At 35.9% G+C, this 21,689-nt stretch overlaps 1 protein-coding gene across 4 annotated transcripts in view; it reads left to right on the top strand.

Moving 5' to 3' along the window:
• MGAM2 (maltase-glucoamylase 2 (putative)) overlaps positions 1 to 21,689 on the top strand; it is a 110,607-nt gene that overhangs the window by 11,020 nt on the left and 77,898 nt on the right. For 3 of the 4 annotated variants that reach the window (XR_927547.3, NM_001293626.2, XM_024446997.2), the window contains exons 4-13: positions 8,211 to 8,334; positions 8,781 to 8,890; positions 9,194 to 9,348; positions 11,244 to 11,415; positions 13,804 to 13,903; positions 14,696 to 14,808; positions 15,805 to 15,930; positions 18,065 to 18,196; positions 18,284 to 18,382; positions 21,032 to 21,145. Coding sequence is in view for 3 of the 4 variants with exons in the window: in NM_001293626.2 (NP_001280555.1) it covers positions 8,211 to 8,334; positions 8,781 to 8,890; positions 9,194 to 9,348; positions 11,244 to 11,415; positions 13,804 to 13,903; positions 14,696 to 14,808; positions 15,805 to 15,930; positions 18,065 to 18,196; positions 18,284 to 18,382; positions 21,032 to 21,145 (1,245 nt within the window). In the remaining variant the exon portion in view is untranslated. Of the gene's footprint in view, positions 1 to 8,210; positions 8,335 to 8,780; positions 8,891 to 9,193; positions 9,349 to 11,243; positions 11,416 to 13,803; positions 13,932 to 14,695; positions 14,809 to 15,804; positions 15,931 to 18,064; positions 18,197 to 18,283; positions 18,383 to 21,031; positions 21,146 to 21,689 lie in introns of those variants that run through there. The other variant, XM_011516692.3, reaches the window with a different exon arrangement.

Raw genomic sequence — 21,689 nt, forward strand, 5'->3', positions numbered from 1 at the left:
TTTAACCATTCTTCCCTTGGCATATAGTAGGATGTTGTCCACTTCATCCATATTTTCAAATTTATAAACTTTGAGTTCTATTAAATATGTTTTTGTTGTTGTTGTTGTTGTTGGATGAAATCTCGTTCTGTCGCCAGACTGGAGTGCACTGGGGCGATCTCGGCTCACTGCAACCTCTGCCTCCCCGGTTCAAGCAATTCTCCTGCCTCAGCCTTCTGAGTAGCTGGGACTACAGGCATGCACCACCATGCCCAGCTAATTTTTGTATTTTTAGTAGAGACGGGGTTTCACCATATTGGCCAGGATGGTCTCTTGACCTTGTAATCCACCCCCTTCAGCCTCCCAAAGTGCTGGAATTACAGGGGTGAGCCACCGCGCCCGACCTCAAAATTATTTTTATGAGATTTAGCCTATTGTTAGGTATAGTTATATTCTTTTTTTTTTTTCTGTATCCACCCTACTCTTGATAGGCAATTGTGAGTTTTCATCTAGAGATTTTTTTTTTACAGCACGATTCAAAAAAATTTGCATCAAATTTTTGGGTATCTTCGGGTGAACAGTTGGAATAATTTTTATTGGCTCTATACCTAAGGATGGAACTTTCAGTCTATAGGATATGTACATGTTTAACTTTAGCTGACACTGCAAAATCATTTTTCAAAGTATTTGTATCAATTTGCATTTCTTTTAGTAGTATACAGGAGTTCATTTGCTCTACATCCTAATCAACGCTTGGTGTTTTCTCCTTTTTCAATTTAACCATTCTATGGTTTTAATTTTCATGTTTCTCATGACTAATAAGGTTAAATATCTTTAGAAATGCTTATTGGCTAGTTGGTAATCATATTTATGGAATGTCTTTTTAACTTTTTGCCTTTTTTTCTACTGAACTGTTCATCTTTTTTATTGCTTTGTAGTAGTTACTTATGTATTCTGGATACAAATCCTTTGTTAGATATATATCTTAGTCTATGGTTTGTCTTTTAACTCTCTTAATGGCGACTGTTGATGACAAATAGCTCACAATTTTAAAATAGTTCACTTTATCACTTTTTCAATGGTTGGTTCATTTCATATTCTATTTAGTAATTCTTGCCTACTCCGAGGTCAGAAAAATATATTACTATCTTTCCCTTAAAAGCATTATTGTTTTATCCTTCAAATGTAGGTCTTTTATGAATATAGTACTGATTTTTGTATATGGTATCAGGTAAGAGTCCAGAAACTTTTTTTTTTTTTTTTTTTTTTTTTTTGAGACGGAGTCTTGCTCTGTCTCCCAGGCTGGAGCGCAGAGGCGCAATCTTGGCTCACTGCAACCTCCACCTCCCAGGTTCAGGTGATTCTCACACCTCAGCTTCCTGAGTAGCTGGGATTATAGGCACCCGCTATCATGCCTGGCTAATTTTTTGTATTTTTAGTAGAGATGAGGTTTCACCATTTTTGTCAGGCTGTTCTCGAACTCCTGACCTTGTGATCCGCCCACCTCAGCCTCCCAAAGTGCTGGGATTACAGGCATGAGCCACCACACCTGGCCCAGAAACGTTTTTTTTCTTGAATTTTTAATCGATCCATCACCACTTATTGAACTGACCATCTTTTTCCCTCTGCATTTTAGTGACACCTTTCCTGTAAATTATGTCTTTATAGGTATGGATCTGCTTCTGGAATGTATTTTGTTGAGTTACTAGTTTGTTCTTTTGCCAATACCATACAGCCTTAATAACTATTGCTTTATGATAGGTCTTAATGTGTGGTTGTAGAAGTCCTCCAAATCATTCTTACTTTTCTTCAAGATTGCCTAGCTTATTCTTTGCCCTTTAGGTTTCTGAATACATTTTAATTTTAATGTCTCTCATACCAGCCTGCCAGTTTTCTCACAAAACTTACTAGAAATTTTATTGTGATTACATAAAATTTACAGGTTAAATTTGGGAAAATTACCATCTTTACAAGGGTGAATATTTCAATTCCTAAACATGGTATATATCTTTCTATGTACTGAGATTTTAGTTTTGAAATTTTTGATATAGAGCTTTTGCACATGGTTTTGCTACTTTTTTCCTATTTGATTCTATTCAAATCTTATTCTTAAATTTTAATTTTCTGTTTCTCTTATATATATAGATTTAAAATTGATTTTTGAATACTGATCTTGTAACTAGAAATCTTAAATTTACTTATTAATTGTCCTAGTTTGTAGACTCTTGTTTTTTTCTGACATGATAATGTTACCTGCAAATAATAACAGTTGGAAGTTTTTTCCAATGTGCATTCCATTTTCTTCCATGTCTTTTAACTCATAGGTTACAAGATTCTCTTTTCTTTCTAAATTGTCAATATAGTTTGAGACAGTTTATCTGAAAGGCAACATGCAGCTATGGTAGGTTTTAGAAAATGGAACTTCCTGGAGACTGATTTTAACTAAACCTAATAAATAACATTGAATAAAATACTAATTATAGAAGAGGAATTTCCTGGTTTTGGAAGAAGTTGGTTACATATCATTTACAGATTTTCAGCATCTATCAGAGACTCTATTGAAGAAATCCCTGCATCAAATGAAAGTTGTAGTAGATAATTTGGGGTCTGGGATATTGGTAATGGTTGAAAACTGAAGTAGGGATGTTAGAGCAGACCACTTACTTAAATGTTTATTGCTTTTTATAGAGGTCTGTGGACTTTGAAACAATTTATGACAATGAAACTGACCTTTTGAATTAGACTGACCCCAGTTTCAGAGGGAGCAGAGCTACTTAATGTCTGCCTTAGGAAAATCAATTATCTACAGGCCACCCAGACCCCCAAATTCTTTCTTCACTGATCCCTTCCAGCCTTTTTTGTTATCTGAAGACAATGAGACAGGAATGTCAATTAGATTTATGGAGAGTTAATAAGTATATTTAAAAAGATTGTATGGTTATAATATAATTACTTTGTTTATAATAGGTATGAAGCACTGACTTAAGTTGTATTTACATTGTGGCTTTTCAGGAAAATGACATCAGATGTTAGCATCTGAAATACTTGTCAGCACTACGCCTTTTTCAAATGAGTAGTGTTGTGACATATTCTTGTTTTTGGTGTCACAATCCACACTGAACACAGTCCTTTAACAGGAAAGATTCAGACATTATAGTTATGTACAGAACAAAATGAGAAAGTATTAATGTTTCCTGTCTATCTCCAAATTACTCCCCCCAGAATCACCCAGAATCAAATCAATGGCTTAGTGTATATCCTTCTCTTGATCTTTATAAGCTTTTGCATCTATATATTTATTTTGTTTTAACGAAAATTTGATTATACTATATATTTTTCCAACTTGCTTTTTAAATTTAAGGCATTTGAATTTACCACATTATATTTTTAAAATAGGTTGCTTCAGTTGAGATTACCATATGATTTTCTTTTGTCAGTGTTGTGAATTATGTTAAAATATTTTTTAATTTGGAACCATTTTCACTTTTGCTTAATGAGACCTATTCATATATTGTGTATTAATTCTTTTAATATATGAACGAATTCAAATTGCTAATATTTTATTGATATTTCGCACATCTATGTTTTTTAAATGAAATGGGCCTATGTATTTTTATTTACTTGTTTATTTGGACTGTCCTTTTTCAGTTTGTTACCAGAACTATTCTAGTTTTATAAAATGAATTAGGAAACTTTTCACCTTTTTCTATATTCTGAAAATACAGTATATATAATATGAGGATATTTTATTCCTCAAATCATTTGGGCAATTTTTTTTTTTTAGGGAAAGATTCTTAACTATCTTTCACAATTTTTCATGGTCACTGGACATTTCAGGTTTTCTATCTCCTCTTAGACAATTTTGATTATTTAAATTTTACTGTGTAAAGATTTATTTAATTTAGAGTTTCACATTCATTGGCTAATATTTGTTATGAATAAGTTTTCTCATGATTCTTACTCATTCTTTATATCTGTTGTCATTTTTTATTCTTGTGTTAAGCCTTGTTTGTTTCCCTTTTTTGTCAAAATAAGACTTTAAGATATTTCTATTTCCTTGATCTTTCCAAAGAAACCCTTAGATTGATTGATTTGCCAGACTAATAACAAAACTTATCCTCACACTATAGTAATATCAGTGTGGAGTTATAACAGGAATTGACATATAAGCCATTTGAATATAATAAGAAGTCCCAAAATGCATATTCACATGCTTATATGTATGCACTTAAATTTAGTTTATAATGAAAATGACACTGCAAATCAGTGGTGGAAACAAGCTGGATATGATTAATGGTGGTATCTGTCTTCCTGTCCTTGCAGACAACTCTGTGCCACTGGAATCTGGATGAATTCTTTAAACAGAGCAGGCACTCAATGGATGTTTTGAATTGATGAATGTAGTTACTTGCTTCTTTATAATTACTGTTTTAGTTTTTATTATTTTACACACTTTTGTGGGTGTATTTTGTACTTTTCTAGTGTCTTGGGTTGTACATTGAGTTGTTAATGATCCATGACATTTTATTTGCTTTTCTTTCCCTAATTTGTCTTCTCCTTTCTCTTTCTGGAGTCTTCTTAGTTGAGTGCTGCTATCTGAGTCTGTCAGTCACTTCATCTACTCTTTCTTTCATATTTTCCATTTTTTTTATATTATTTTCTGGGATAATTGAATTTGATTTTTAAAGTTTTTTTCATAACACTTCTCTTTGGTTGTTTTCTTTTGTAATTCAGTTTAAATATTCAGGAGCTTTAAATCTTGTTCTAAATCTTAACAGTACACATTCCTCATTTTTTTAATGGAAGTGATATGGTTTGATCCTGTGTCCCCACCCAAATCTCACCTTGAATTTTAATACTCCCAGTGTGTCAAGGGTGGGCCAGGTGGAGATAATTGAATCATGGGGCACTTTCCCCCATACTGTTCTTATGGTAGTGAATAAGTCTCATGAGATCTGATGGTTTTATAAAGGGGAGTTCCCCTGCACAAGCTCTCTTGCCTGCCGCCATGTAAGACATCCCTTTGCACTTCCTTCATCTTCCACCATGACTGTGAGGCCTCCCCAGCCATGTGGAACTGTGAGTCCATTAAATGTCTTTCCTTTATAAATTACACAGTCTTGGGTATGTCTCTGTTAGCAGCATGAGAACTGACTAATACAGTAAATTGGTACCAGGTAGTGGGGTGCTGCTGTAAAGATACCTGAAAATGTGGAAGCGACTTTGGAATTGGGTAACAGGCTGAGGTTGGAACAGTTTGAAAGGCTCAGAAGAGGACAGGAAGATGTAGGAAAGTTTGGAACTTCCTTGAGACTTGTTGAATGGCTTTTCTCAGATGGAGATGAGGAACTTGTTGGGAACTGGAATAAAGGTGACTCTTGCTATGTTTTAGCAAAGAGACTGGTGGCATTTTACCCCTACCCTAGAGATCTGTGGAACTTTGAACTTGAGAGAGATGATTTAGGGTATCTGGCAGAAGAAATTTGTAAGCAGCAAAGTGTTCAAGAGGTAACTTGGGTGCTGTTAAAGGCGTTCAGCTTATGTATTCATGAAGATATGGTTTGGAATTGGAACTTATGTTTAAAAGGGAAGTAGAGTATAAAAGTTCAGAAAATTTGCAGCCTGATGATGCAATAGAAAAGAAAAACCCATTTTCTGAGGAGAAATTCAAGCCAGCTGCAGAAATTTACATAAGTAACAAGGAGTCAAATGGTAATTGCCAAGACAACGGGAAAAATGGCTCCAGGGCGTCAGAGGTCTTCAGAGCAGTACCTCCCATCACAGGCCAGGAAGCCTCGGACAGAAAAATGGTTCCATGGGCCAGGCCCAGGGTCTCCCCTGCTCTGTGCAGCCTAGGGACTTGGGGTCCTGTGTCCCAGCAGCTCCAGACATGGCTAAAAGGGACAAAAGTACAGCTCGGGCCATGGCTTCAGAGTGTATAAGCCCCAAGTCTTGGCTGCTTCTACATGTTGTTGAGCCTGTGGGTGCATAGAAGTCAAGCACCGAGGTATAGGAACCTCTACCTAGATTTCAGAGGACGTATGGAAATGCCTGGATGGCCAGGCACAAGTTTTCTGCATAGGTGGAGTCCTTATGGAGATCCTCTGCTAGGGCAGTGCGGAAGGGAAATGTGGGGTCAGAGCCCCAACAAAAAGTCCCCACTGGGGCGCAGCCTAGTGAAGTTGGGAGAAGAGGGCCACTGTCCTCCAGCCCCCAGAATGGTAGATCCACTGATGGCTTGCACTGCATGCCCGGAAAAGCCGCAGACACTCAATGCCAGCCCATGAAAGCAGCCAAGAGGGGGGCTGTACATGCAGAGCCACAGAGGCAGAGCTGCTCAAGGCTGTGGGAGCCCACCTCTCACATCAGCATGACCTGGATGTGAGACATGGAGTCAAAGGAGATTATTTCAGAGCTTTAGGATTTGACAGCCTCATTGGATTTCAGACTTGCATGGGGCCTGTAGCCCCTTCATTTTGACCAATTTCTCCCATTTGGAATGGGTATATTTACCCAATGCCTGTACCCCATTGTATCTAGGAAGTAACTAACTTGCTTTTGATTTTACAGGCTCATAGGCTAAAGGGACTTGCCTTGTCTCAGATGAGACTTTGGACTTGTACTTTTGGATTAATGCTGGAATGAGTTAAAACTTTAAGGGACTATTGGAAGGGCATGATTATGTTTTGAAACGCGAGGCCATGAGATTTGAGAGGGGCCCGGTGCAGAATGACATGGTTTGACTCTGTGTCCCCACCTAAATCGCACCTTGAATTGTAATTGAATTTCAATTGTAGTTGTAATTGTAATTGAAATTTCAATTGTAGGCCAGGCGCGGTGGCTCATGCCTGTAATCCCAGCACTTTGGGAGGCTGAGGTGGGTGGATCACCTGAGGTCAGGAGTTCGAGACTAGCCTGGCCAACATGGTGAAACCCTGTCTCTACTAAAAATACAAAAATTAGCCAGGTGTGGTGGTGGGAGCCTGTAATCCTAGCTACTCAGGAGGCTGAGGCAGTAGAATAACTTGAACCCAGGAGGCAGAGATTACAGTGAGCCGAGACTGCACCATTGCACTCCAGACTGGGCAACAAGAACAAAACTCTGTCTCAAAAAAAAAAAAAAAAAAAAAAAAAAAAAAAAAAAAAAAAGAAATTCAGTTGTAATTGAATTTCTCACCTGCCACATTGCATTTTATTTTGCTGTTTTATAAACAGATTTGTAATTTTTTTCTTAAAATCATTTCTGTCATTTCATGTAAATTTAGTTAGGTGAGGAAGGTGAATGCCTGTGTTTATTCTAACACAGTGGTCTCAGTTGCCATTTGTTTTATTTATCATAACAAAATAATTTTATGTAAATTAACCTGAAAATTATAAGACCTTTACAAAATAAATCTTGCTAAATAACACCAAAAGAATATTTATAATCAAACCACTCTGAGAAAGAACCACATGTGATTTGTTTTTGCCTTGGACATAGCAGAGATATTGTGAATTTCTATGTTACCCTCTGTCCTAGTTTTATTTTAATCGTCTCTAGTTTTCTTAGCTTCACTTTGCTTACTTTTTGGAAATGCATTTCTTCTTTTGCTGTATTGTTAGCCACTTGCATGACTCTTTCTCATGGGAAAGTCCAAACTTCTTGGACTGGCTTCCAGCCCACTCTTGGTAAAAATACTATGTGATTTCCAGCTTCATTCTCATACTTAATGTTTTTGGCACAAGAAATGTGTGGTTTTTCTGAGTCTGTCATGCACTGCTGCTTTCTCCGCCAGGAATACTGTTCCTCTGTCTAACCTCCCCTGGTGCTTCATGATGGGACTTACCTTTCACTTACCTGGAAGCTCTCCCTACCCCACTCCACGCCTACTAGGCTGGGTACAGTGACTGTGTGTTCCCTCAGCTCCTGGACACACTTGGTGGAGCCCTCATATCATCATACTGTATGTAATTGCTTTCCTAATTGTATGGATTTGCCACTAGACAGTAGTTTGCTGAAGGCACAAGCTATGTCTTATTTATCTGTATTATCAGTTCCATGTCTGGTAGATAATAAATACATATTGGACAGTTGGATAGATTCATGAATAAATAAAGAACAAATAAATTAATGAATGTAATTATAACCTATCTTAAATTCTCCTTGGAATAAAATGGGTTATAAATAAATAGACAGATAATACTTTCCTTCCCTCAGTTTATATACTGCTAACTCTGTGTCATTGTTACAGGATATCTGCAGATGGCAATATAAGTGCTGCTGGTCGCCTGTGGCAGATGCCAATGTCCCTAGGTGCTTCTTCCCCTGGAACTGGGGCTATGAAGCCAGCAATGGCCATACAAATACAAGCACAGGTGAGCACTGCCCTGATGTTGCGCCTGGGAACAACTCCTTATGGCCCAGATACGTTAACTGCAAAATAAAATAAAAGCTAAAAGTCAGGCAGGCGTGGTGGCTCACGTCTGTAATCCCAGCACTTCGAGAGGCTGACGTGGGTGGATCATGAGGTCAGGAGTTCAAGACCAGCCTGACCAATGTGGTGAAACCCCGTCTCTACTAAAAATACAAAAATTAGCTGGGTGTGGTGGCAGCTGCCTGTAATCCCAGCTACTCAGGAGGCAGAGGCAGGAGAATCATTTGAACCTGGGAGGTGGAGGTTGCAGTGAGCCGAGATCACGTCTTGCACTCCAGCCTGGGCCACAGGGCAAGACTCCATCTCAAAACAAAAACAAAAACAAAACAAAACCAAACACTAAAAGTTAGTCTCCTTTTCTCTCTCTCCATATCTTGCCACCCCTAGGATTTACTGCCCAGTTGAAAAGGTTGCCATCACCATCTCTGTTTGGAAATGATGTCGCCACCACCCTTTTCACAGCTGAATATCAGACATCCAATCGGTTTCATTTTAAGGTTGGTTTGGGAGTGACTGCTAAATACATTTCTGAAGAAAGCAGTGTGCTCACATTGGGCTTGAAGTGTGGAGGCAGAAGGTACCTCTCTCCCTCTCTGCAGGAATCTCTGGATGGCATGGGCAGGCTAATTTTTATTTGATGGGGCACATGTAATTGGGTGATTTCACAAATCAGAAGCCACAAGGTGAAGAATTAGAAGCTATTCTCATGGGGTGTCATTTGAGATGGAACATCTTTTGTAGCTCTGTCTACAAGGAAGTGGTCTTATCTGCAGTTGTCCCTTCTGTTTTTCTTTTGACAGATCACTGACTTTAATAACATACGCTATGAAGTTTCCCATGAAAATATTAACCTGGTTGATGGGATTGCTGATGCCTCCAATTTGAGCTATTACGTGGAGGTTACTGATAAACCTTTCAGCATCAAAATAATGAGGACAAGCAACAGAAGAGTCTTGTGAGCTTTTCAACCCTCTTGGTGCATCTTTGAACACACAGTTCTAATATTACTCATTCTGATTTACTGGGGGTGGGCAGTGAAATCAGTACAACTAGAGAAAATGTTTGAATATTAGAAAAATGTCCAAGGGTTTGCTGTAAAATAACAGTGTTAGCCTATCATGCTCGTAAAACAGAGAATACTAAAAGGTAATACTAAAATGTTTGCTAAGTTATATAATTTTATATAATTATATAATACATAATTATATGTAATTTAATATAATTTATATAATATATAATTACATATATAATTTATATAATATATAATTATATAATATAATAATAATATATTATTACTATTAATATAATTAATAATATTATAATTATATTTAAATTATAAAATTATAAATTTCATAATTTAAAATTAAATTAAATTATAAAAATTTAAATGTAATTTAAAATATATAAAATATATAATTTAATTATACATTCCATATACTTTATATAATTTAATCAACTATATAATTTATATATTTAATACATAATTTAAAATTAAATTATAAAAATGAAGAATATAGTTATAATTAAAATATAATAAATATATTAATTATAATATAATTAATAATATTAATTAATATAATTAATATTAATAATATTAATAGAAATATGTAATAACATATAATATATAATATATAATTATATAATATAATATATAATTACATGTCATATAATTATGTATAATATAATATATAATTATAAGTAATATAATTATATAAATATATAGATATTATATATTAAATTAAATATAATATATAATATATAACATATGTATTTAATATACAAATATGTCATATTTATACGTTAAATATATTTACATATTATATATGCATTTATATTAAAATATTTAACATATATTTAATATATATTAATTTATATTTATATTTAATTTATATTTTCATTTAATTATATTTAGTTTTAATTTAATCAGTTTAATTATATTTAATTTATATTTAATATTTATTTAATAGACATTAATTTATATTTAATATAAATATTTAACATATTTAATAAATGTTAATTTATATTTAATATAAATATTTAATACATGTTAATATACATTAATATATTAAATATAAATATATAAATATATATTTTACATAAGATAATTTTTTAATATAAAATATTTATATAAAATTTAATAATATATATTTATATATTTAAATATATAGTATATTTAATATGTTTATTTGTATAATATATTTATACACAGAAATATACTTGTGGTTTACATATATTGTAAAATAGGGGATTTTATTGTTTTAAATTATTATTCATACTGGAACTCAAACTTCATTGTCTATCATTTTAAATTATTATTTACTGTGAATTTTACTATCAAGCAGTGACCAACAGTTTCAGCTTAATTCACAAACTGTACTGGAGTAAACAGAAGTATTAGTGTCTGTAAAACCAGTATTCACATCCCGGTACCAGCAGATCAACAGTCAGCTGTGTTATATATCAGGCAAAATACCTATCCTCAACAGTATCAGTTTCCTTGTCCAAAAAAAGGGACTCAAAATATCCACTTTTCCTAGGGGCAATGAGACTTTGTTTATAAAACACCCAGAGCGGTGCCTGGTATGTAGTAGATGCACATTAAACATGAAGTCAACTCTGCTCTCTTTCCCCAATTGTCCAACCTGAGCTCCTGGCATCCTGGCCCTAATGCTGTCTTCCTCTAGAATTAAAGAACCAGAGGTGCCCTAGAAAGGCCTTCAAAGGTAGCAAGAAAATTGCTAACGCCTGAAACAACAGAGGTCTAAGTGTATGTGGAAAGGAGAAGATAGCTTCCTGGCAGAGGAAAGAGTGTTTTTCGGTGATTCTTGCTCTACTTACCCCATGGCCCAGGTTGGACACGAGCATCGGGCCCCTCCAGTTTGCCCAGCAGTACCTGCAACTGTCTTTCCGACTGCCCAGTGCCAATGTGTATGGGCTGGGAGAGCATGTGCACCAGCAGTACCGCCACAATATGACCTGGAAGACTTGGCCCATCTTCACCCGGGACGCTACCCCCACCGAGGTGAGGTGGCTTTCCTCCTGAGTATCGCCCACAGTAAGGGATACCCTCCTTCCTTTCCTAAAAGTAGCCTGCAGGAATACATCTATTTTACTTTGCTCACTTTAGATGTGTTAGTGTTGAGGAATATTTGTTCTTGAGGCCTATAAATTCAGGAATATAGCAATATTAAAAATAAAAAAAATTAAATTAGAAATTTTCTAGCAATTCGAAATGCAGCATTTTTTAAACAAATTTCACTTTTAATGGGAAATACAATTTCATGATTATATTAGAACCTAGTATATACTTCTGCCAAATTACTATGTCTTGGTTTAATAACTGAGGAAAGGAAGGCTTCAGTAGGAGCCAAGCTCAGTAGAACTTGGTGGACTAAAAATGTCTCTTTTGACAGCTTTCATACTGTTCTAGGTGTTTGCTAGTGAAAGTGTGTTTCAGAAACGTCAGCGTTGGCATTACCTGGGAGGTTGTTAAAAATGCAGAATCTCAGGCCATAGCCCAGACCCACTGGATCCAAATATGCATTTTTGCAAGATCCCCAGGTGACTCACATTCATATGAAAGTGGGAGAAAGACTGCTCTGGATTAATGCCTCTCAGCTTATCTGGAGTGAAGGACTAGTTTCTTAAAAAAAAAAAAAAAATCTAGCACTGGCAATAATTTTGTAAAATACAATTAAAATATATTACTGAAAAAATGAAATAAAAAAACTCAAAGACATACCAAAAAAACCTAAATTTTCAGTTGAACAGACATAAAATATTACCCTTTTCAATTGCTATAAAAGAATTTCTAAACTTTGACTTTTGGTTTTTGCACTTGTCTTGTGGCTGACTGATAACAAAGGGTTTGAGGAAGTATTGTTCCATGGACAAAGCTTTGAGTCACATAGGTTTGTAGAGCATGTCTTGAAGCCTCCATTGTGCTGATGATATTTCTTGGATCCATGCAAGAACTGCAAGTTGAAGTATGGTGCAAGGGAGAGAGCTGACATTTTGCAATTCGTATTTGGCAGGAGATGAACAAAGCAAGTAGCACATTAACCTGTAGCCCAGCTACCAGCATCGGATACAATGGAGGGAGTGAACTTGCTGAGCAGAGCAAAGACAAAAAAGCAATAGCTAACGCATGTAATAAATGTTTGGTCAAGGACCCTGGCAAATATTGAATACTATGAATCGTACTACGTTTGACTTTCTATAGCTGACATTCCTAAATTGTATAGTCACAAATTAGATGTAATGCCTTCCTGTTTTTCTTCCTTTCTTTTTTCTTGCCTTTCTCCCCTGTTTTTTTCTTTCTTTAAAATGTATTTTAAAAATTTTGTCTGTATGCTATCCAAGTGTGATGCCATTAGTTTTCCTGGCTATAATTTTACATCTAGCTGAGGCTTATTGATCTTCTCAATTTTGCAAATTATGTTGATTCTTTCTTTTCCCTCTCCTGGTATTTACCATTATCAGTATTATTGCCTTATGCTTTGGCTAAGATGATGATACTGTCACACAGGGAACTTGTAAAACGTTCTCCGTATTCTAATCTCAACTTCTTTTATTCTTACAGCACTTAGAGTTACACACACACACACACACACACACACACACATTATCTCTTCTTAGGTCAGTGCTCATCACAGCTTCGTCACAGATTTCAATATTTTTTCTTTCTCTTTCTATCAGTTTTAAGCTTTTTTTTAACCACTTAAGTATTATATGGTAACTACAGAAACATTAGAAAATACAACTAGGTGTAAAAAATTCAAAATTACTCATAATACCATCACTTTCTGCTAATATTTTGGTATACATCATAGCAAATATGTTTACAAAATAACTTGATTGAGTTATAATTCATAGGCCAAAAAATTCATCTGTTTTAAGTGTGCAATTCAATGACTTTGAGCACATATACTGAGTTAGACAAGCATCGTCATAATCCAGTTCTATAGCTTTGACATCACCGCAATAGGATCCCTTCTGCCCTTTGAGACTTAAACTCCAGAGCTTGCTTCAGCCCTAACCAATTACTAACCTACTTTCTGTCCCTATAGATTTGACTTTTCTAGATATTTCATATCAATGAAATCATACAATATATGGTTGTTTGTGTCTGTTTCTTTCCCTTAGCATAACACTTTCAAGGTTTATTTATATTGCAGTGTGTATGATTATTTTACTGTTGTTGAATGGAATTCTTTTGTATAGATAATACCATATTTTGTTTATTCATTTTCCAGTTGATAATATCATTACAATGCCTTTTTGATACAATGTTAAACTACATGAAGTGTTGACCAAGTATATGTTATAGATGGCTTTTGAATTTATTTTAGGGTGAATGAAAACTTTCTCAACACATAACACTATGACTTTTCTTCTGTTTTGCTGATAGGGCATGATTAATCTGTATGGAGCTCATACATTCTTCTTGTGCCTTGAAGATGCCAGGGGCTCCTCTTTTGGAGTATTTCTGATGAACAGTAATGCCATGGGTAGGAAGCATCTTTTTATCTTCTGTAGGTAGGAATACGTTTTAGGATTCTGCTTTTATAAAAAATTACTTTTATGGTGAGATCAACTGTTGAACAGAAGGCATTTTGAACCTACAATACTTTTATTGAAACTGGAACCTGAAAGTAGGTTAATCTGTCTACAAATCCAGGTGATACTTGACATTGTTTTCATTGAAAACCACTTCAGGGGTCTTCTTTGGTATAATGTTTCCCCTCATAGTCTGTAGAAAATAGGATCCACTGATAGACGCATTCCAAAAATATCTGTAGATTTCAACGTGTAAATTGTGCTTTCTGTCTGTAGGCAACAAGGCTGTGTTTTGTAGGCTGTTTCTCACAGCCCACCCACACTTTCCCCACTCCAAATCTTCCTTCTCCAGCTTCTGGATTAATGGTACTCTCATAAGCATTTTTATTTATTTTTAAATATTTAATTGTAGTCAAACTCATCTAATAAAATTTTTATAACGTTTTTTGAGTGAAGCTACTCGCAAAACCCAGAAGCTTGTATTTTTATGTGGCCAGGTTAAAATACAATTTGTTCTTCTTTATCTTAAAAAAAAAAAAACAAAACTCAATTCTTCATTGGTGTCTTACACATTCAATACTTTGATAAACTCCAACAACGATCCTCTGATAAAAAGACAGTGTGATTTTCATCCCTTTCAAAATGAGACTGAGACTCTTTTAGGTGGCTCAACTATTTCTACTGCAGAGAAGAGTTTACTTCCAACCATAAGATTCTAATTAATCTCATTATAATTTTTTCAGAGGTTACCCTTCAGCCAGCTCCTGCGATCACTTATCGCACGATTGGAGGCATTCTTGACTTTTACGTATTCCTAGGAAACACTCCAGAACAAGTGGTTCAGGAATACTTGGAGGTATGTCTTTGCATTTAGATAGTCATTATTTACTGCTGTTATCTCATATACTCATTATAAATTAATAAAAGAAAAATAAAAGGTATTAGTAAACTGTATGGATTATAAATGCTGGGATAGTGAGTCTTTCATCTATTGTTTATTTATTTTGATGACCTTTATTGGGTGCTTTCTGCATTCCAAAGAGACACTGTGCAAGGCTTGAGAAATGCAAAAAGAAGTCAGACACCATCCTGCTTTCAAGTAACTCATAGTCCATTCATGTATCCCACAAATCAGCAAAGCTTATTCATTCAATAAGTTAAAATTCAGTGAAAAGGAACTACCTGAATAAACTTTGCTAGCTATTCACATTTGACTCAAATTATAGAAAAGGAAGACGCTTGAGGTTGGCTGCAGTGGCTCATGCTTGTAATTCCACCACTTTGGGAGGCCAAGGTGGGCGAATCACTTGAGGTCAGGAGGTTGAGACCAGCCTGGCCAACATGGCAGAGCCCTGTCTCTACTAAAAATACAAAAATTAGCTGGGCATGGTGGCGTGTGCCTGTAATCTCACTCCTAATCCCATCCATTCTTATTCCTTTACCCTTTGCACACACCACTATCTGAAATTATATTAGGCATTTATTTATTTCCTCTAAGCTCTCTGAGGGCAGGAGCTATGTTTGCTCTGTGCCACTATATTCCAAGTGCCCATATTAGCCCTTGCCACACTGTGAACAAATATTCAGAAAAACACTTATAGAATAATGAATGTCACCAGTTTCCCCTAAGATGACACCATTACTGAAACATTTTCTGCAAATTTTATTAGTGTCTGATCTGATGTTGGGAATACATTTATGTACTTAGTAAAGAAGGATGTGATTGTGGAATTTCACAAATTATTCTAGCAGATTACTCTTAGCTCTGACGTTTTCAGCTCTGGGAACTTCACAGAAAATGAAATGGGGCTAATGTTATTCTCAAAGCCTACACACTTACTTATCTTTTCAGCTTGTTGGACGGCCATTCTTCCCTCCCTATTGGAGTCTTGGGTTCCAGCTTAGTCGCAGGGACTATGGTGGCATCAATAAATTGAAAGAAGTTGTAAGCCGAAATCGTTTAGCTGAGATACCATATGTAAGTCGAAACTTCTTTTACCATGCAGTTGACACCAATTCCCATTTTTATTTTTTGCATTAAATTCAATGTATTAGGAAAAATGTAGATAAATCATTAGATTGATAGACAGGCACACTTGCTGGCAGAAATTTGCATGTTAAGTTATGTATCTGAGCATGAAAAGTATACTGTTAATGAAGCCTGATAGAGGTGGCTTTGAATTTTAGCTTTACCTCTTCATAGCTCTGTGCAATGTTGCGCCAGTTAATTAACATCTCTGAGCCTTAGTTTCCACCTTTATAGAATGAGGATGTAAGACTTACTTTGGTGGGCTGGTAGTAAGGAATGCCTTATACTGTGCATGTTGAAGCATCTAGCACTGATGGTGAACATCATCAAAGTTAGCTATTATGTTATTAGAGAAAGCAACACTGGAGGTGACATGAGGAACAAGAGCTGATGATTATAATGACTTACAGTAAATGAGTTTCTCACGGTGACCTCATATACTCCTCCCAGATCTGATAAACTCTAATTTTGAAGCTTCATGGTTGCATCAGTGTTTATGATGTTCAATGTCCACCAGTAAGTCAAGATAATTATTAAGTGTGTAATATTTGATGATCTTCTCCAGGAGATGCATAACATGTGGCTAATGAATTTATCAAAACAACTTATTGGGGGTAGCTCTTTGGGATTTTGAAACTTTGATGTAAGAATATAGTGTTGGCCCAGTGCGGTGGCTCATGCCTGTAATCTCAGCACTTTGGGAGGCTGAGGCGGGCAGATCACTTGAGGTCAGGAGTTCGGACTAGCCTGGTCAACATGGTGAAACCCCGTCTCTATTAAAAATACAAAAAAATTACCCAGGTGTGGTGGCACATGCCTGTAATCCCAGCTACAAAGCAGGCTGAGGCAGGAGAATCACTTGAACCTGGAGGCAGAGGTTGTAGTGAGCTGAGATCGCGCCACTACACTCCAGCCTGGGTGACAGAGTGAGGCTCTATCTCAAAAAAAAAAAAAAAAAAAAAGAATATGATGTTAACATCTGAAGGAAGACTGAACATATGGACATGGCTTTGGCCTGCTTTCAGGGTTCTTCAATGCCCTCTCAGAGTAGTGATGAGGGCAGGCAGGGGGATCAATTTTTCCTGTAAAAAAAAAAACAGATGGTCAATGTGTTTTGGTGTCAAAGGGGAATTGATTGTGTTTAATTTTACTTCTCCCATATCTATTATCTGCAAACATCCAATTCCAGGAAGAATTTTCTTCCGCAAATAGAATCTTTCCCTACATTTGTTTGTGGAGGACACGTGGGTCCTAAATGACTGCTCAGTATTAGAACAGTTGATGCCACTTTGGGCAACAGGCCATAAGCCACATTTTCCTTCAGGCCTGTAAGGTCGAGACTCCTACTGTATGATACTTGAGGAACACTTAGAAGAACACTTCCTTTGTCTTTGAGGAAGGTGGCAGATTGGGGAAAAAAAGAGCATCTGAAGCCAAAGAGCCTGTCCCCAAAGCCCTCATCAGCCCCCCTACCTCCCAGTGCATGTATTTTGGGAAATGTCACTGAACTCCCCTACATTTCAATTTGCTCACTAAGAATAACACCTGCTCCCTAGGCTGATATGCAAACACAAGGAAAAATGTGTGCATGAGAGTTTAGTTGATAAGGCTTTATCTTTTTGTCATTGATCTGTGTTAATCATTACTCTAGCACTTTCGTAGGGCAAAAGATCATTTTCTCCTCATATGATATATTCTGGCTTGATGCTTGGGTTAAGTTAGTACATGGTTATAACATTAATAATATGATTCATTCAAACAACCATTTAAAGAGCGTCTGTTTTATGTCAAGCATCCAAGCTCTCAAGTTAAAGAGATGAACAAGATGCAATTCCTGCTCTCAAGTCCCTCCCAATACCTTATGACATGCACCTGTCAGGACAAGGAGGTAAAACAGCAACCAAACAGCAATCATGTCTTTCAAAGATAGCTTATTTTCTCCTAAGAAGTAGCCAAGCCCTGGAAATTCCAGGATCATTAGAAAATATGGTTTCATTTTCAATGGTCAGGAACCAGAGCTGTAATACTTTCCATCAGCACAGTGCTGTTTCCTAGGTTCTGATTGACCAGAGCTCTCTTTCAGGATGTCCAGTACTCTGACATAGACTACATGGATGGAAAGAAGGATTTCACTGTTGATGAAGTCGCTTACTCTGGTCTCCCAGATTTTGTCAAGGAGTTACATGACAATGGACAGAAATATCTTATTATTATGGTATGTTCAAACACTTGTTACCTTATTTTTTCCTTTGTAGTGCAAAAAATTTATGAAAATAATATTTATATCGTATTTCTTTATTAGAATCCTGGCATCTCCAAAAACTCTAACTACGAGCCCTATAATAATGGAAGCCTAAAGAGAGTGTGGATCTTGGGGAGCAATGGCTTTGCTGTTGGGGAGGTAATTTCTTAAGAAAATCAAAGTAAATTATGATTGTTTTGGGGAGTTGTACTTTTGGTACGAAGATGAGTGAAAGGCAAGTTACAATATTGTTACTGTTTTCATGGCTTTAGAGGTTTCTTTTATTACTATTTTAAACCAGTAGATATAATAATAGAATGATTAAAAACCTGAAGAATTTAAAAAGCTAGCCTTGATCCTCTAATACCATAGATAATTGAGAAGCAATATATAACTAGAAGAAAAATCAGTTACCTAAAGCCCTCCCACCTCCAAATTTCTCTTTCCCAAGACAATAAATTCAACTACAAAAATATAGCAAGATGCTCATAGATTAATGTGGAACTGATCTCAGCTAATATATTTTATTTTTTTTAAGTTTTAATTTTTATTTTTTTGAGATGGAGTTTCACTTTTGTCACCCTGGCTGAGTGTAATGGCATGATCTTGACTCACTGCAACCTCTGACTCCTGGGTTCAAGTGATTCTCCTACCTCAGCCTCCCGAGTAGCTGGGATTACAGGCACACGCCACCATGCCTGACTAATTTTTGTATTTTTAGTAGAGACGGGGTTTCTCCATATTGGCCAGGTTGATCTCGAACTCCTGACCTCAGGTGATTTGCCTGCCTCAGCCTCCCAAACTGCTGGGATTACAGGTGTGAGCCACCATGCCTAACCTATATTTTAAATTTACACAAGACTTATAGATAGAGCATAGTTTTGATTCTGAGGTAGCAGACTCAGGCAGTGGAATAGGCTGAGCTGGGGCCTATATTCAGGATAATTAAATTTCTGAGAGTACTTTAAATCAAATCACATAGGCAATTTCAATTATATGTAGGGTCAGCCCTAGATGATTGGATTCTGTAAGATTTACTCAAATTGTTGCTTCATCTAGAGAGTTCACGTGACTGCAGATCTTGTTGCTCCTGAGTAGTTTATTTTGCGAAACTGTCTTTTCAGGGTTATGGATGATCCCTTACCAAAATCTGCCCACTTAATTCCTTTCATTGACTCTTTCGATGCTTAATTCTATTTACTTTTTTTTCATTGATTCTAACTTTTCATGAAGCAGTAGGAAAGTTTTCTTCCTTCTGCACACCAAGTCTTTGCTTTTACTGTTTCGTTAGAAGCTAGTTTCTAAAATATTAGATAAGCCCATATTTATATACTGCATTTAGAGTCCATAGTCAAATAAAAATTATTTTGCTCACCTAAAATTTTATCCACACTTATGAGTCATTTCAATAGTACTCATATTTGAGTGATATATAATTAAGAATTTGCATATAATTACAAATAATGAATTAGATAGTTGACTTCATTGACCAATAAATGGCATGAATCATTTAATCTAAGATGTTGGCAGAGATAGCAGTAGTGGAGGTGCATAGTGGTGTGTGTTTTTTTTTTTTTTTTTTTTTTTTGAGATGGAGTCTTGCTCTGTTGCCCAGGCTAGAGTGCAGTGGCACGATCTCAGCTCACTGCAACGATCTCAGCTCACTGCAACCTCTGCCTCCCAGGTTCAAGCGATTCTCCTGCCTTAGCCTCCCAGGTAGCTGGAATTACAGGTGCCTGCCACCATGCCTGGCTGATTTTTGTATTTTTAGTAGAGACGGAATTTCACTCTCTCGGCCAGACTGGTCTCGAACTCCTGACCTCGTGATCCACCTGCCTCAGCCTCCCAAAGTGTTGGGATTACAGGCGTGAGCCACCATGCCAGTCCAGTGGTTTGTTTTAAATGCACTTAGTTGAATAAAATTTGCTGGCTCGCTCTAGGTTGAATGTTGCTGTAGGTGACTGTTTTGTGACACCACCTGTTTCCTGGGGTGCAGAGTTAACATCTAATTGTTAGTTGATGCCCATCGCCTAAAACAAAGAGCCAGGAGCTCAATCCATTTACTGTGGGTATTTCAAGCTCCCATCTTGAGTTTTGAGAAGTATCCACATTTCAAAATATGTATTCATTATGTTCCCGGAGTGTAAAGTTGTTCCTAAATTACAATCTATAAATTTATAGGGAAAATGAGCAAAAATTTTTTACAAAAACTGGTATCCTTTTAATTAAGAATTTTCAAAAATTTGGCTATGGTTATATCTTTGTTGTGGACAATCTTTAAAGCTATTGTTTGATAGGCATAGACAGAAAAGGGAGGTAGAATTTAAAAAATGACCTGAGTAAGAAGCGCAAACTTCATTCAACCATTTATAAAATATTGCTTATATGCCAAAAATATCAACACATTATTTATAATCATACTTATTCAAAGTAGACTTTATGTGACCTTTAATTAACAACACTTGAAAAAAGTTCATTCTCTTGAAAAATAATATATAGACTTTCTAGTATTTTAAACAATTTGTCTCCCAACTGGCCTGACATAATGCAGTTGTACTTTTTAAATTTTCTTTTGCACAGAAAAGGACTTATGGTGGCTTTTCATTGATCTACTCTGTTGCTTTTCCTTTTATTGTTTTTTCCTCTTGTTCCTTGTATGCATTTTATTGTTTAGTTTTTGTTGGGGTAGTCACACATTTTATTTCTAAAATGACAGCAAAATGAGGCTCCTAGTAGAAGAAATCACTGTCGGTCAAAATGAAAAACCTTCAACCAAGCTGATTGCCACTGCCTTCCTCTGTGTCCTAGGGATATCCGGGACCGACAGTCTTTCCCGATTATACCAATCCAGTATGCACTGAGTGGTGGACAGATCAGGTCGCTAAATTTCATGATCATCTGGAGTTTGATGGAGTGTGGATTGTAAGTTATTATTCCTGACTCAAATTTCCTTTGGAAACAGATAACGCCAAATTTTCAGATGAGTTTTGACCTTGATGTCAAATAAATGTCAATAAAAAATAGTTTGCTTTATGTAGTAGTATTCAAAATTATTTTACTTAAGGCTGAGTCTATATCCAGTGAATTAGGCTCCTAAGAGCCTTAGGTTCTTATCCTGCATCTTTCATCAACTGGTTATTTCATTTTGATAAAGTTTTTGCTTTCTCCATTAACTGGTTGTCAGCTTAAAAATACTGTTTTATTAAAACAGTATTATAATTGCTACTATTTGTAGCATTGATTCATAAAAATTTAAATTAATCATTAGAGAATAATTTAATGAGGGTCTCGTATTTTTATGGAAGAACAATAGGAATTTCTTCAACAAATGTTCTCTGAGTGCCAATGTGCAAGGCATTGGAGCAGCCATTTGGGAAGCACTCTGATGAATAAGATGTGCAATGATAAAGAATATTTGTTTGTTGCCAAGATTAGACATCACTTATTTTTAATTCATGTAAGAAAA

The sequence above is a fragment of the Homo sapiens genome, chromosome 7 (assembly GCF_000001405.40).
Source record: "Homo sapiens chromosome 7, GRCh38.p14 Primary Assembly".
Classification (NCBI taxonomy): Eukaryota; Metazoa; Chordata; class Mammalia; order Primates; family Hominidae; genus Homo; species Homo sapiens.